At 48.4% G+C, this 15,775-nt stretch overlaps 1 protein-coding gene across 7 annotated transcripts in view, besides 1 other annotated feature; it reads left to right on the top strand.

Moving 5' to 3' along the window:
• The window catches only part of MORC2 (MORC family CW-type zinc finger 2), a 43,645-nt gene that overhangs the window by 24,035 nt on the left and 3,835 nt on the right, over positions 1 to 15,775 (top strand). For all 7 annotated transcript variants that reach the window (NM_001303256.3, XM_017028667.3, XM_011530004.3 and 4 more), the window contains 18 exons: positions 2,469 to 2,628; positions 2,738 to 2,849; positions 3,182 to 3,307; positions 3,903 to 3,982; positions 4,699 to 4,781; positions 5,034 to 5,119; positions 6,535 to 6,675; positions 6,771 to 6,925; positions 7,029 to 7,157; positions 7,703 to 7,808; positions 8,097 to 8,229; positions 9,418 to 9,492; positions 9,579 to 9,959; positions 10,549 to 10,680; positions 11,220 to 11,274; positions 11,710 to 11,851; positions 11,971 to 12,195; positions 12,288 to 12,381. In NM_001303256.3, coding sequence (NP_001290185.1) covers positions 2,469 to 2,628; positions 2,738 to 2,849; positions 3,182 to 3,307; positions 3,903 to 3,982; positions 4,699 to 4,781; positions 5,034 to 5,119; positions 6,535 to 6,675; positions 6,771 to 6,925; positions 7,029 to 7,157; positions 7,703 to 7,808; positions 8,097 to 8,229; positions 9,418 to 9,492; positions 9,579 to 9,959; positions 10,549 to 10,680; positions 11,220 to 11,274; positions 11,710 to 11,851; positions 11,971 to 12,195; positions 12,288 to 12,381 — 2,415 coding nt within the window. The remainder of the gene's footprint in view (positions 1 to 2,468; positions 2,629 to 2,737; positions 2,850 to 3,181; positions 3,308 to 3,902; positions 3,983 to 4,698; positions 4,782 to 5,033; positions 5,120 to 6,534; positions 6,676 to 6,770; positions 6,926 to 7,028; positions 7,158 to 7,702; positions 7,809 to 8,096; positions 8,230 to 9,417; positions 9,493 to 9,578; positions 9,960 to 10,548; positions 10,681 to 11,219; positions 11,275 to 11,709; positions 11,852 to 11,970; positions 12,196 to 12,287; positions 12,382 to 15,775) is intronic.
• Positions 4,926 to 5,141: a silencer, noted in NCBI's record as "fragment chr22:31335586-31335801 (GRCh37/hg19 assembly coordinates)". NCBI's record gives its function as "represses an EF-1alpha promoter that drives an FKBP-Casp9 reporter gene in an ReSE screen in phorbol 12-myristate 13-acetate-treated (for megakaryocytic differentiation) K562 erythroleukemia cells {active_cell/tissue: K562(+PMA)}" and the evidence as "EXISTENCE:reporter gene assay evidence [ECO:0000049][PMID:32094911]".

Below are 15,775 nucleotides of genomic sequence, written 5' to 3'. Positions count from 1 at the left end.
GAAGCAGGGGAGTCATGGATGACTCATAGGTTCTGCTGTGGCAGTTGGGGAGTGGGGTCTCTGGAATTGGGAAGAATGAAGAGGGGAAGTATGGAGGGGAAGAGTGTAAGTTTCTTCTGGACATGCAAAGTGCAGTCTGGGTCTGGCATTTGGGGGAAGTCTGGGGGCTTCAGCATTCTTGGTAGCAAACGAGGTCACCTAATGGAGAGAATAGAGTGAGAAGAGGATCTGGGACCTAGAGCATGTCAATATCTAAAGGTCGGGGAGAGGAGAAGGGGGCCAGAGGGACAAAGGGGTAGCCAGAAAGGTAGGAAGAAAACTGGGCAAGTGTACCATTGAACTAAAGGAGAAGTGTTCCTGAGGGGAGGGATGGGGTGCCCATGGGAGTGAAAGCCAATGTTTAAAGTGATGCCATTGTCACCTGGGATGGCTGTGAAGAATGGGAGGCGTAGTGAGGTACAGGTTTATAGAACACAAATGGAACTCGGTTCCCGTGGTGGAGAGGCTAGGTTGAGATTTTTTCCTTACTTGGTGCTAGAAGGTCGCTATTTTGGATTGTACTCTAGTGCAAACTCAGCCAAGATTTCAAAATAAGATCATTTTCAGTTGAGGAGGAATGTGTCCAGACCAGCCCTTGGGTTGAATAGTTGCAGCACAAAGCTTCTTAGAAACCAGCAAAATGGGCCGGGCCTGGTGGCTCACGCCTATAATCCCAGCACTTTGGGAGGCTGAGGCGGGCAGATCATGTGGTCAAGACCATCCTGACCAATATGGTGAAACCCCGTCTCTACTAAAAATAGAAAAATTAGCTGGGCATGGCAGTGTACGCCTAGTCCCAGCTACTTGAGAGGCTGAGGCAGGAGAATCACTTGAACCCAGGAGGCGGAGGTTGCAGTGAGCCGAGATCGTGCCATTGGTGGAGGTTGCATTGAGCTGAGATCATGCCATCGCACTCCAGCCTGGGCAACAAGAGCAAGACTCCGTCTCAAAAAAAATAAAATAAAAAAACCCAGCAAAATGTCTCAGAACTCTTAACAGTTTGTCACCCCAGCACTTGTTAAGATTACAGAGTCCCTTTTTCCTAAGGGTTTGAACCCCTGAGGTGCTTAGCCTGGCCTGCTCTGCAGAGGAAATCCTTCAGGCAGCCATCTGCAGGGCTCTGCAAGGGCTGCGGCCTCATAACCACCGAGGGAGGAGCCTCTGGGGAAGTGGCATATGAGGTTGGGTTTTTGAAGAAAGAGTAGGATTTTTTTAAAACATCACTTAGACATTATTTAAATTAAATTTCACATAAATGGAAGAGTGTATTGAAATATTTATGCAGTTCAGAGGACAATTTTAAAGGCAACACCTGTGTTGCCACCATCACAGACTGATGTTAGAAGTGTCCTGTGTGCCCTCATCAGTCATATTTCTTCTTGTGCCCCCGAAGGAACTGCCTTCAGGTAACTTTTGTGATAATGATTTCCTTCTTTTTCACTATAGTTTGTCACCCTTGTATGCATTTTTAAATAATAGTTTAGTTTTGCCTATTTGTGAATTTTTTAGAAATGGACTCTTACTGTAGGTATTTTTTGTATCCTATTTCATATAACACTGTGTTTATGTTGTTCATCCATGTTGATGCTAGTAGTGGTTAGTTCATTTGTATCACTATATAGTGTTCCATTGTACAGTTTAATTTGGCCACTCTAGAATGGATATTTGGGTTATTTTTATTTATTTATTTATTTTTGAGATGGAGTCTTGCTCTGTTGCCCAGGCTGGAGTGCAGTGGCACGATCTCAGCTCACTGCAACCTCCGCCTCCCAGATTCAAGCAATTCTCCTGTCTCAGCCTCCTGAGTAGCTGGGGCTACAGACGCACGCTGCCACGCCCGGCTAATTTTTTGTATTTTAGTGGAGACCGGGATTCACCATGTTGCCCAGACTGGTCTCAAACTCCTGAGCTCAGGCAGTCCATCCACCTCAGCCTCCCAAAGTGCTGGGATTACAGACATGAGCCACTGCACCAGGCCTGGGTTATTTTTGTACATGTTTACTGGTACATATGTACAAAAGTTTCTCCTAGGGTATGTACCTAGGAGTGGAATTGCTGAGTTTTAGGTTATGTTATGTGTATTTACTGATTCACTAGATAATTGCAAATATATTTTCCCTAGTGGTAAGAGTAGAATTTTTACCAAATTAAGAAAATGACCAGGGACGTCCCAAGCAGGGAACTTCTCATGCAGAGACCCTAAGCACATAAACCAACATCTCCTGAAGGAAGTAGTCTTGTGTGGCTGAGTCTTGGGAAGAGGCAGAAGCCCTGAAGCTCACAGAGCCTCTGGTGCCAGGCTGTGGAGCTTGGGCCTCACCTACAGGGCAGTGTGGAGCTGCTGTGGGGAGGGACAAGAGAGATGCACATTTGGGAGGAAGGCTGTTCTGGGGCTTCCCTTAAAGTGCCTGCTCATGTTTACTCCACAGGTGATAGTCCCACTGCCCACCTGGAATGCTCGGACCCGGGAACCTGTCACAGACAATGTAGAGAAATTTGCCATTGAGACAGAACTCATCTATAAGTACTCTCCATTCCGCACTGAGGAGGAAGTGATGACCCAGTTTATGAAGATTCCTGGGGACAGCGGTAAGTAGGCTTTGAGCCTGTAGCCCCTAGAATCTGGGAGCTCCAGAATCACAAGTAGTGTGGGGGTGGGCCGGGGGATCTGGCAGGACAAAAGATTTCTGTTTCTCAGGAACATTGGTGATCATCTTCAATCTCAAACTCATGGATAATGGAGAGCCAGAACTAGACATAATCTCAAATCCAAGAGATATCCAGATGGCAGAGACGTCCCCAGAGGGCACGTGAGTGTGGCTGGGAAGGGAGGGAGGCCCTGGAACTGGCGTTTGTGCTCTCAGGAGATGGCTTCAGGGAAAGAGGGGAGAGCACATTCATTGCCCAGTGTTCTGTGGTAGGGTAGTATGTAGGGCCAGCTCAGTTGCCTGTGGGGTGCCTGTGCTGAGGACGTGAGAGGGGCGGGATGTGGTGCTCACACTAAGGGAGCACCAGTTCAGGGCAGCAGCAGAAGTCAGTACCTAACATGGAAAGGTGGAGAGCCTGCAGAGAGGATGTTGTGCCCTTGGTCAGGCCTGTTGTGGAGCAGGTGACAGCACTTCTCTGTTTTTGCCCTCTCCAGGAAGCCAGAGCGGCGCTCGTTCCGTGCCTATGCCGCTGTGCTCTATATTGATCCCCGGATGAGGATCTTCATCCATGGGCACAAGGTGCAGACCAAGAGGCTCTCCTGCTGCCTGTACAAGCCCAGGTAGGGGCCAGTGCCCCTTGGCCTGCTGTCTCCCATGGGTCGAGGATGTGGCCGCGTTTCTCTGGGGCATTGTTAGAGGGATGCTGTATAAGAGGCTCTGGCAGTGCTGACTACGTTTGGGACTTTAAGTTGCCTGTGATTGGTCACAGGGTCAGTTCTGGGTCCTAGAGGAGGGACAGATCAGCTGTGGAGGTGGCTGGCTAAGCTCATTGAGTATGTGTGCCTCTGTGACAGGGAGGGTGCCCTGCCTGGCTCAGTGAGCTGTCTGAGTCTCTTGGCTTTAGGGCCAAGGGGCCTTTAGACACTATATAGGAAAGCAGTGGGCTTGGCTTACTCCTGAGGTTTGTTTCTGCTGTGGGATGAATGACAACCCTGGTGAATGGTGAGGTTGCTTATCAAAGACAGCAGGAGGCTAAGGGCAAGTGGAATAAGGAACTGCACCTTTTTGCTGAATTGAGCTTGGATTTGTCTCATCATGAGGGGCCAGGACAGCACAGCTTGGGAGGAGGCAGGAAGGCAGGGTGCTTCCTGTGCTTGGGTGTGCCACCTGCCCCACTGCTGCGTGGGCCATCAGCTTGCTTTTTCTACTGATCAGGATGTACAAGTACACGTCAAGCCGTTTCAAGACCCGTGCGGAGCAGGAGGTGAAGAAAGCAGAGCACGTAGCAAGGATTGGTAATGCCACTCTGGGTGCAGGAGTTGGGGGGGTGTGCATCTGGGGTATGCTGCTTGTGGGCAAAGTGGGGTTCCAGGAAAAGGCTGAGTCCACAACTCAGGGACAAGGCTGGTCTCCTGAAGCATAGTTCAGTTCCTTTGCAGCCCCTTTCACTACATGCCAACTCCCTCAGCATTTCTTCTTTCTACACTCCACTTTCTCTTCTTCTGCCATTTATAGGGCCTAAAAGTGTCAGCTCTTTGGCTTATCCCAATTGAAGAATCCCACTGAGTTCTCTGGTGCAAATACTTGTGAAATTGCTTTTCCTGACTTCAGGGCAAACATCTCAGGGGCTCTCTCGCTGTTCAGGGTTTCTCAGGGTTTCTCGGCTGCTTGTTGGAGAGTGATTGGCTGAAGACTTCTTTAGCTTCCAGCTCAAGCTGAGTGTTCAACTGGTTGCCTTAGGTGTTTTTTTTTTTTTTTTAAACCTGTTCTGGTTCATTTGTAAAGTTTCCTTGGGGCCTCCGTGATAGGTTTGAATGCCAGATTTTCCTTCTGTGACTGACTGCCGTCCAGGCACAGAGGCTGCCCTCACATTGCTCACCAGCCATAGCTCCCCCTACTCTTTTTTTCCTTGGTGGTGTACACACTTCGTGTCCAGTACTGTGGATCCAGGAGGGATGACCAAGAGTTTTGAACCTTTGCATTTCTTACCATGTTCTCTTCTGGGTTTCAGCTGAAGAGAAGGCGCGGGAGGCAGAGAGCAAAGCTCGGACATTAGAAGTACGCCTAGGTGGAGACCTCACGCGGGACTCCAGGGTAAGGTCCCGGCCCAGGCGGCTGTTCTCCAGCGTTTCTGGCACTAGGAGCCCATGTCCCATGAGCCTGGTCAAGTAAAACACAGCTTTTGAGTTTGTCCCCAGTGAGGGCTGTTTTCTGTAGAAAGAAGTAAATTTCCAGGTGTGGTTTTACATCTTTGAGATAAATTGAGATGTCTTAGATGTAATGTTTCAATATTCCCTGCTGTGGCCTAGAGTGCCACCTCCCCTCACCTGATGTCAATGTGTGCAGGTGATGTTGCGACAGGTCCAGAACAGAGCCATCACTCTGCGCAGAGAAGCCGATGTCAAGAAGAGGATCAAGGAGGCCAAGCAGCGGTGAGTGCCAGGCCTGTCCTTGGATCTTTTAAACTGACGTAGCTTTTGGACTGATTATTGACAGGTTGCTATTCTGTCACCAAGACTGCTTTGTTTTAATGCCAAATGCTTGTCAAATGCCTCCTGCAGGAGGGAAGTCTTAATCCTAGCTCTCAGCCCTTTTTTGAGTCATAAAGACAGGGCAGGGCTGACAACCTCGGCTCGAGCACCAAAACCATCCTTTGGCACTGTCTTACCTTTTCTTCCCTTTTTCTTTCTTTCTTTTCATTTAAAGGATGTATAAAATGCTCATTGTATGAAACTTGAAAAATATAAAATGTTTAAGGAGTAACATTTTTAAACTCCCTTATACTTCTACCACCTGGTGATACGACCCTATTTTTTATGTTACATATATATTTTTTCATATTCATTTTCTCCTCAGTGGTTATGTATGTAGAATAATGCTGGAGATTGAGTGTTGTATACTTTTGCATTTAGAACCAGCATTTGTCCTGGATCATTAAGTTTCCTGCTTGTCCCACCTCCATGTCTGGATCCTCTTTGGACTCTGTGGCTTGATTCACTGTTTTGCCTCTTGTTGGCCTCCTTGGCACAGGCATGGGTTTCAGGTTTTTTCTCTCCAAGTCAGTCCACTCCTCATCCATCTGCTTTTCAGCTCTAAGTTTTTGTTGATAGTAATCACATGATGGTGTCTTATTGCACATGCTTATTATTCTTGTGAATTTTTGCCTTTTAAAATAATAATAATTGGCCGGGCACGGTGGCTCACGCCTGTAATCCCAGCACTTTGGGAGGCTGAGGTGGGTGGATCACGAGGTCAGGAGATCGAGACCATCCTGGCTAACACAGTGAAACCCTGTCTCTACTAAAAATACAAAAAATTAGCCGGGCATGGTGGCGGGCACCTGTAGTCCCAGCTACTTGGGAGGCTGAGGCAGGAGAATGGTGTGAATGCAGGGTGCGGAGATTGCAGTGAGCGGAGATCGCACCACTGCACTCCAGCCTGGGCGACAGAGCAAGACTATGTCTCAAAAAAAAATTATAATAATTTACTATCATACTAGTGGAATTTTGGGGAAGGTATGACGATAACCTGGTGTTTATTCCAACATATAATTGTCTTTGCACAGATTTGCAGCAGCTTCGTAATAAACAATTCATATTTAATGAATATGAATGGTTTGGCAACCATCCCTGTTGCCAAAAAGCCACACTCATGTTTTTAATTAGGGATGCTTTGAGTTGGTGCCCAGTGCATGTCCATATCAAGTCTAACAGGTTACACATCAAATAGAGATACAAAACTTTTGGCTTAACATGTTTCAAGTTTAAGCTTAAGCTTAACACATCTTAAACACTATGGTGCTTGTGTGCCGATGTGTAGATCTGCTTGAGTTTTTTTGTCTTCTTAGAGCACTTAAAGAACCTAAGGAACTGAATTTTGTTTTTGGTGTCAACATTGAACACCGGGATCTGGATGGCATGTTCATCTACAACTGTAGCCGACTGATCAAAATGTATGAGAAAGTGGGCCCACAGCTGGAAGGGGGCATGTGAGTACTACCCACAGAGAGCTGTCTAGCCCAGGATAGTTGGCAGGAGGGCGTTGCCAGTGGGGTGACAGAGCTTGTTCTCTTTCTCCCTGTAGGGCATGTGGCGGGGTTGTTGGGGTTGTTGATGTGCCCTACCTGGTCCTGGAGCCTACACACAACAAACAGGACTTTGCTGATGCCAAGGAGTACCGGCACCTGCTCCGAGCAATGGGGGAGCACCTGGCGCAGTATTGGAAGGATATTGCCATCGGTAATGGGGCTGGGCTGCTGGGCCTCTGCCTTTTCTCTTCACCTGAATGTAGGGAGAGAGAGAGGCTGGCTCCTAACATGATGTATCGGTGTTTGCTTTCCAGCCCAGAGGGGAATCATCAAGTTCTGGGATGAGTTTGGCTACCTCTCTGCCAACTGGAACCAGCCCCCATCCAGTGAGCTGCGTTACAAACGCCGGAGAGCTATGGAAATCCCCACCACCATCCAGTGCGGTGAGTTGGGTGGTTGGACCCCCCCGACTCATTTCCATCAGCCCACAAGCCTCTTTTCTCTATCTTCCTGCCAGCCTCCTAACTTGACTGACATTCATGGACTTACAGTCCCCTAGGGATCCAAGTCTGTTTGACGATGGCCCTGTGAGCTCAGTCTTGAGGCTTTGCTGAGTTTCACCTGTCCCTCTTGAGTGAGAAAGAAGGTCATCTGTCCTCCCAGGCCTCTCCAGCTGCAGCCAGGCCAGGCTCACTTGGTTTGGTACCACATGGTTTCTGGTGTGCGTGGATGACTGAGCCAGGATCTTGATAAAAAAGGGAGAGGGGCTGGGGGTGTTAAGAGTCCAGCATATTAAGTTTCCATCCTTCCTGGAATCAGTGTCCCTGAGAAGAATTAGTATTCTCTAAGGATAGGCAGAGTTGGAGCCCGAGTGAAGATCTTTGCCTACAAAGTCTGGGGCATCATTGTGGTGGGCCTGTGAGGAACCCGGATTACAGATAGAGTTGGTGGGCGTGGCTGATATGTGGGGTTTTTTTGCTCTCTGCAGATTTGTGTCTGAAATGGAGAACCCTCCCCTTCCAGCTGAGTTCTGTGGAAAAAGATTACCCTGACACCTGGGTTTGCTCCATGAACCCTGATCCTGAACAGGACCGGTGAGCACATTGTCTAACAAGGGGATTGTGGGTACTTTTCTCCCCTGCCCCTCACTGTGTTTCTTGAGGTCAGTGCACATACCTTACATCTCTGTCTTGCCACACCTAATAACTGCCCAAGAAATAAAAATAGATGTATGTCCTGCAGTGTATAAGATTAATTCTGTGCATTGGGAACTCTGAGGTGGTTGCTCTTGTGACAGACAGTGTAGACTGGCTGAAGAGAAAGGTCCTTGCCGAGCTTGGCGCTCTGTTTGCCACGACCTCTGTAGTACCTTGTCTCTACAGGTGTGAGGCTTCTGAACAAAAGCAGAAGGTTCCCCTGGGAACATTCAGAAAGGACATGAAGACGCAGGAAGAGAAGCAGAAACAACTGACAGAGAAAATTCGCCAGCAGCAGGAGAAGCTGGAGGCCCTTCAGGTACGTGGGTCATGGTCAGTGGGCAAAGCCAGCCTGTGTCAGGGCTCTGCCTGTGACAGGAACCTTCAGTAGCTTTCCTGTTCCCTCAGGCTCAGTTTTACCCTCCACTCACCCGCGTTGTTTGCCAAAGCTTTCCAACCCCAACCTCCAGGTCCACGTGTACTATTTGCCAACAGTGTTATTTTAAGAATAACACCTTGCTTATTCTTAAGAAAAAATGCTTATATACTTCAAAGTGGTCCAATTCATTTAGAATGTATAAAACTCTAGAAAATAAAAATTCTGCCTTAGAGGTAACCATCATTAACCATACATCCTTCCAACTTGTCATGAACTCATGAATACCTACACATAACACACATATATTTTTTAATAGAAATAGGGAGATAATGCCATGTATATGTTTTATATTAATACATACACATACACATAATTGTTTTGATGACTTTCTAGAAGTGAAATTAAAGGACTTAAAAGGTCCATTGTAAAATTCTATGGCTTTTTGCAACTATTTCTAAAGTACCCTCCAGAGATGTGTTAATTTCTATTATTTACCAGCAGTATATGAGAGCATTATTTTTAAATGTTGTTGCAAATTTCATAGGCAAAGATGCATGTTTTATAATTTAATTTCCTTAATATTTCTAAGATTGCATAATTTTTCATGTGTCCACTTTTATTCCTTTTAAACTGCTTATTCACTTACATTTTTATTTTTTCTATGTTTTTTTCTAGATATGTCTGTGATATCATCTGTTTATCATATTTAGTACACAACCATTTCCCTTTTTGGCTTCTGTGTCTGTGCAGATGTGCTCTCACTAACCCATGATGTTTTATATGCCTCCCTAGCTGCTAAATCCCACCTTTCCTTTCTGGCTTCATCCAGGTTTTCCCTATCCTTCGGGCCCTTTCTACCTTTTTGGGTTCCTTTTATAGGAATTTAGTCTATTGACACTTTTTGCCAGTCTCTCAGTTGCTGGATTAATCACACAGTTTCCTGTAATTTGCTGATAGTTGAGTATTTATGTATTTTGTGTCTCCCCAATGAGAACAGGAGGTTTGTAAGAGTAGGACTATGGCTCAGGTTTTCTATTTTTTTTGTCCCTGGTTCCAGACACTATCCAAAAAGTTTGCTCAAGTATACTAAAATATGCAAACAACTTCATCATGATGTTTGCCTTGCAGAAAACCACACCCATCCGCTCCCAAGCAGACCTGAAGAAATTGCCCTTGGAAGTGACCACCAGACCTTCCACTGAGGTGAAGTCCAGGGGCCTGGGAAGGGCTTTTCCTCAGGTGTCTCATGCTAGGATCAGTGTTCTCACTCTCTGTGGGCCTTTTTTTAGGAACCTGTGCGTAGACCTCAGCGTCCTCGGTCGCCCCCTTTACCTGCTGTGATCAGGAACGCCCCCAGCAGACCCCCTTCTTTGCCAACTCCTAGACCAGCCAGCCAGCCCCGAAAGGCTCCTGTCATCAGCAGTACCCCAAAGCTCCCTGCTTTGGCAGCCCGGGAGGAGGCCAGCACATCTAGGCTGCTCCAGCCACCTGAGGCACCCCGAAAGCCTGCCAACACTCTCGTCAAGACTGCATCCCGACCTGCCCCTCTGGTGCAGCAACTGTCACCATCTTTACTGCCCAACTCCAAGAGCCCTCGGGAGGTTCCTTCTCCCAAAGTCATCAAGACTCCAGTGGTGAAGAAGACAGAGTCACCCATCAAACTCTCCCCGGTGAGACGCTTGTCCTCTTTAATACCCCAGCCCAGTGTCAGTAGTGTAGGAATGGAATTGTGCAGTGTCACAGCTGTACTGGGGGAGCCTTCGGAAGATACTGAATCTAAAGCTTTGCTGCTGCCCCTGAGGACGGGAAGCCTTGATAGCTGAACGGACTTGTTGGGGCCAGACAGCACATCGGTTGCCTGTACAGCGAGCTCTTCACTGTTGCCTCCGAGTTTTGGTCTGCCACAAACTTGAGTCACCTCCACTGGCTCTCGAAGTGTGGGCTTAGGTCAGTCATCTGGTGACAGATAGCCTGAGTGGGCTGCGGCAGTGGTCGGTGGTTCTTGGGGAGGTGACAGCTAGTTGGCCAGGTAGACTAAGGTGGGAAGGGAATTGAGAAGCTTCTCCTATGATAGCTTTGAGCAAAAATCCTTATGGCGCAGGGGCCAGTGGGTTGCCTGTGTACATTCCAAGTAATGTCAGGCAGGGATTGCAGGGAGTACAGCTCCTCTTGGAACGACTCCTTTAGGCTAGATGAAATCTTCCTGCTCCTTAGAGGCTGAACAGGGCCCCTCACATCCTCACGCTCCTCTTGCTCTAGGCTACCCCTAGTCGGAAGCGGAGTGTCGCAGTTTCTGATGAGGAAGAAGTTGAGGAGGAAGCTGAGAGGAGGAAGGAGAGGTGCAAGCGGGGCAGATTTGTTGTGAAGGAGGAAAAGAAGGACTCGAATGAGGTGAGTGGTTGAGGTGAGGTTCTCAAAGCCTCTCTCTCTAGGGCCTGCAGCCCCCACCAGCAGTCTGCACCCCCCATCAGCAGTCTATACCATCCACCAGCAGTCTACACAACCCACCAGCAGTCTACCCCCCCCACCAGCAGTCTGCACCAACTCTGTTTATATTCGTGTCATGAGCCTTCCAGAAGCCTAGTGATCTCTCAAGGACTCTCAGTTACACAAGTGACTAAACATGGTGCCAGGTAGGGTCTTGAGTGAGACTGGCTTCTGGCTTAACCACAGGCCTGAAGTCACACAGACGTACATCAGTGAGGCTTGAAACACATGTCCCTTGCCTGCTGTCTTGTTCGTAAAGGTAGCAGAAGGGTAGGTACCTTGGACAGTGATTTTGGAGTGTGGCTCTCAACGGGGCTTGGTGATTTAAACTGTAGCACAGGAAGTCGTGAAGATGATGGCTGATGACCCCGGGTGGCCAGTAAGGCACAAGTCTGCTCTTGGGGGGCACTGGGGATGCCTCTAATAGACTGCTCTCCACGCAGCTCTCAGACAGTGCTGGGGAAGAGGACTCGGCTGACCTCAAGAGAGCTCAGAAAGGTGAGCTGGGGGAGTGACTTGGCAGCCTGTGGCGGGGGTGGGAGTGGGAGTGGAAGTGGAGCCCCTTACCAGCAGCAATTTACCAAAGGCTCATTGAATCTGTCCTGGGTCTGGGCTCTTGTGCAGCAGTGGATCCAAGTCTAATCCCAAGCAGAATTCTGAAGGGATCACCCCTTTGTGGTTATTTTTAACACTAATTCCTTGGTGTTCACTCCTGGCGGTCACTTGTTCTCCTGCTTTTTGGCACCCTCATAGCAGATGGGGAAGGAGACCATGGTGGCTGGTCCCTGGTCTCTGTGTCCCTGGTGTAGTGGGGGCAAGCACCTAAGTGTTCCTGTCCTCCAAACCCTGGGGACTGCCTTTCTCGATGTGGCCCAGGCCAAGTGAGGGACTCTACGCTAGTTTTCTGACTCGCACCTCTGTCTACATTGTCAGATAAAGGGCTGCACGTGGAGGTGCGTGTGAACAGGGAGTGGTACACGGGCCGTGTCACAGCCGTGGAGGTGGGCAAGCATGTGGTGCGGTGGAAGGTGAAGTTTGACTACGTGCCCACAGACACGACACCAAGAGACCGCTGGTAATGCCCCAATCAGGGAGGAGCAGTGGTTCCTCGAAGGAGGTATCCCCGGCCTCCCTGCCAGCAGCCCATCCTGGGAGCCCGGGTCAGACATGACATAAGCTGTGTGTCTTCCACAGGGTGGAGAAAGGCAGTGAGGATGTGCGGCTGATGAAACCCCCTTCTCCGGAACATCAGAGCCTTGATACACAACAGGAGGGCGGGGAGGAGGAGGTGGGCCCTGTGGCCCAGCAGGCCATAGCTGTCGCAGAGCCCTCCACTTCCGAATGCCTCCGCATTGAGCCTGACACCACTGCCCTGAGCACCAATCACGAGACCATCGACCTGCTTGTCCAGATCCTCCGGTACATGTGTCTTTTGTCTTCCCACCCCAGGGCCAGCAGCAGCTCTCTGCCTGCTCCATGCCATTCTGAATTACTGTCCCTGCCTTCTTTAGGAATTGTTTACGGTACTTCCTGCCTCCAAGTTTCCCCATCTCCAAGAAGCAGCTGAGTGCTATGAATTCAGATGAGCTAATATCTTTTCCTCTGGTGAGTCTGGCCTGACCTTCGATTCCACACTCTTCATTCCCCCACCCCTGCCCCTGCATTTGTTGTAACTGTTGTGATTATGATTGTTACGCTTGTTGCAGTTGCTAGCTCTCAGCTGTGTGCTCCATCTCAGCCAGCCTCTCTCCTGCTGAAAGAAGAGGAGAGTTTATGATGTGGGAAAAAAATTGGCTTAGCTGGATATGACTCTGGTGTGCAGAAAGCCAACCCCTTCCCACCACAGGTGCTAGGAGTTGAGTCATCCCTTAGGGATAGCAGGTGTAGTTTGACATTTTATGACAAGCATACCCACTTTCTTCTGCCCCAGTAGAGGGAGTAAACCTGTCCCAGGCAACAGTGAAGAGCTGAGGCTCGAAGTGCATAGAACTTGACTCTCAGAAGGAGGTATAGAGAAACTTGTGATGTGTGGACATAAGCATTGGATCTTACTTAACCCAGCAAATGCTGAAGGGGTGCCTTGCCCAAGCAGGTGTCTGCTGGACCTCATAGTGAGCAGCAAAAGAGAGTCTTGCCTTCAAGAGGCTCAAGATTCAGTAGAGACTGAGTTGTTACCGGGTAGCTGGACATGGGGGCAGGAGCAGCGAGTGCTGAGAAAGTGGATAGAAAGGCTATGGAGGGCTGTGGTGGCCTGGGGGGCAGAGAGAGCAACTGAGTTGGAAGAAAATGTGCATTTTGCCAAGTGCCTGCCTGTGTAAGTGAAAAGGAGTGTTTGAGGTGGGGGCTTCTGTGAGCAAAGGCTCTGGGAGTGGGGTCCAGGCAACAGGCTGTGTGGTGAGCATTTAGGGTCAAGGGGCCTGAAAGTCAGGATCTGATGTGTCTTGAATCCCCAGTGTAAGTCATACTGGCTTAAACTCTGTATGAAGAGGACAGCCTGCAAAAGTTTTGAGCTGAAGGAACTGTCATCCAAACCATGTCTAGGGCAGAGGTCCACACATTTTTTTCTGTAGAGGGCCAGTTGGCAAGTAATTTCAGGTTCACAGGCTATACAGTCTCTGTGGCAACTCTGCCATTATAGCACGAAAGCAACCACAGACAGTATGTAAAGGAATGGATGTGCTGTGTTCCCACAAAGCTTTATTTACAAAAACACTTGGCAGGCTGATTCGGCCCAGGGGCTGTAATCTGCTGCCCCTTCCCCTAAGAGGGTGATTTGGGTAGCAGCGTGTTTGGGTAGAATGGGTGGATGGGAGATGCAGGGGCGAGGAGGCAGGTCCTATGTAAAAGGTCAGAGGTGAGGGAATGGGAACAGGAGTCAGCGTGGTGGCAGTGGGCTTGGGGGTGAAAGGGCTGTGTCAGAGGTCGTCAGGAGACTGATCATGGATTGTAGGCAAGTGACTCAGGTCTGTGGGAATTGGAGGTTGATGACAAAGCTATTAACTAGGAGAGAAAAATGGGTGAGTGCAATGAAGGTGACGAGTGGAGGTTTATGTGGCACCAGAAGTGCCCTCACTACGTTTCTGGTGATGTGCATTGTGCACGTGGAGATCAAGGACTGGCACTTGGAGGGAGGGGGAGGCCAGGGCTGGAGATGGGGCTCTGGGAATTGTCCACATGAAGTGGGATGATTTTTCTATTATAGGAATAGCTAAGTTTTCTAGGAAAGAGGTTCTAGAGAAAAGACAATGGGAATGGAAACTGCAGGATTAGTATATTCAAGATGTCGGGTCCTCGTGGGGCAGTTGTGTGCTTGATAAAGTTTGCCAGAGATAAAAACATGGAGTTTGTCTTTATTCTACTTTTTAAAATGTGAAATGAAGCAGGAGTTGAAGAAACTAAGGCTCAGAAAGGTAAAGAGTCTGTTGGTCAGTGACAGAGACCAGATTTGAACCCATGTACTTCTTAGGACTTGCTCTGCTCACGATGCTGCCTTGCTCTGCCAGCAAGATATGAGGGAGTGGTGCTCGGCGAGGGAGCTAGAAGGTGCAGAAATCACAGCTGCTGCACAGAAAGATCCATGCTTCAACTTTTGTCCTTGTTTAGGCTGCAGGTGCTCTCTGCAAATCCCAGGAGGAACAAGCAGCTAATAGGGTGGCTAGGTTGGCCTGGCATCTTGTCAGATTTGTTGATTTTGGTTTAAGGTTATTGCCAAACTCAGAGTAGAGCCTGGGTGCAGCAGGATCTCTGCAGTGGGCTTGAATGCCTGGGCCCAAACAAAGTGCATGAGTGTCTAAAAATAGTATATTAGGCTGGGTGTGGAGGCTCAGGCCTGTAATCCCAGCACTTTGGGAGGCTGAGGAAGGTGGATCACTTGAGGCCAGGAGTTTGAGACCAGCCTGGCCAATATGGTGAAACCCCATCTCTACTACAACGTACAAAAAATATTAGCCAGATGTTGTGGTGCATGCCTGTAATCCCAGCTACTTGGGAGGCCGAGGCATGAAAATCGCTTGAACCCGGGGAAAGGCAGAGGTTGTAGTAAGCTGAAATTGTGCCACTGGACTCCAGCCTGGGTGACAGAGCGAGACTGTGTCAAAAAAAAAGTATATTAGCTTCTTTTTGTACAAGGAGGTATAATACCAGTGTATCACCTTTGTCCTGCTAATTGTAATGTCTAAAATCACTCAAACTATTTTTTTTTTTGAGACAGAGTCTCGTTCTGTTGCCCAGACTAGAGTGCAGTGGCGCAATCTCGGCTCACTGCCAGCTCTGCCTCCCGGGTTCACACCATTCTCCTGCCTCAGCCTCCTGCCTCAGCCTCCTGAGTAGCTGGGACTACAGGCACCCGCCACCACGCCTGGCTAATTTTTTATATTTTTAGTAGAGATGGGGTTTCACCGTGTTAGCCAGGATGGTCTCGATCTCCTGACCTCGTGATCCACCTGCCTCGGCCTCCCAAAGTGCTGGGATTACAGGTGTGAGGCACCACGCCTGGCCATCACTCAAACTATTTTTTTAGCATCAGGGATAAAACAAAGTCTACTGTTCATTATGTCCTTGTCAGTTACGTCCTTTATACCATATGGATCAGGAGTTCCATAGAGCCTCAGGAGCCCTGCAATATTAAAGTATCATTTTTTCAAAAAAACTAATGTAACAATTATATGTGAATCTACAGTTACCTCAAAATAATTAAGAAAAAATTATTACAAACCATGTCTACTTTCAAGATGTTGTATACTGAATTTTAATACTTTGGAGATTGCTCCAGTATTTATTTTGTGCTGCCAAGGCAATTACTGTTTTGTGTAGAACTAGAAGTTTCTCTTGCTATCTTGGTTTAGTAGGATAAGGTGAATGACACAGTTAAATACTTGCCAGTAACAGTTTTTAAAAATGGCATCTAGAAGCCTCTCCAGGCTAGGCAGCTAATGCATCTTTACAGAAGTAAACACCAGAGTTGATAAGACTGCAGCAGCCAGCTAGCACCTGCTGGTTG

This window comes from Homo sapiens, chromosome 22, assembly GCF_000001405.40.
Source record: "Homo sapiens chromosome 22, GRCh38.p14 Primary Assembly".
NCBI lineage: Eukaryota > Metazoa > Chordata > Mammalia > Primates > Hominidae > Homo > Homo sapiens.
Note: the sequence above shows the minus strand (reverse complement) of the source record. Positions and strands in the feature narration are given on the sequence as shown.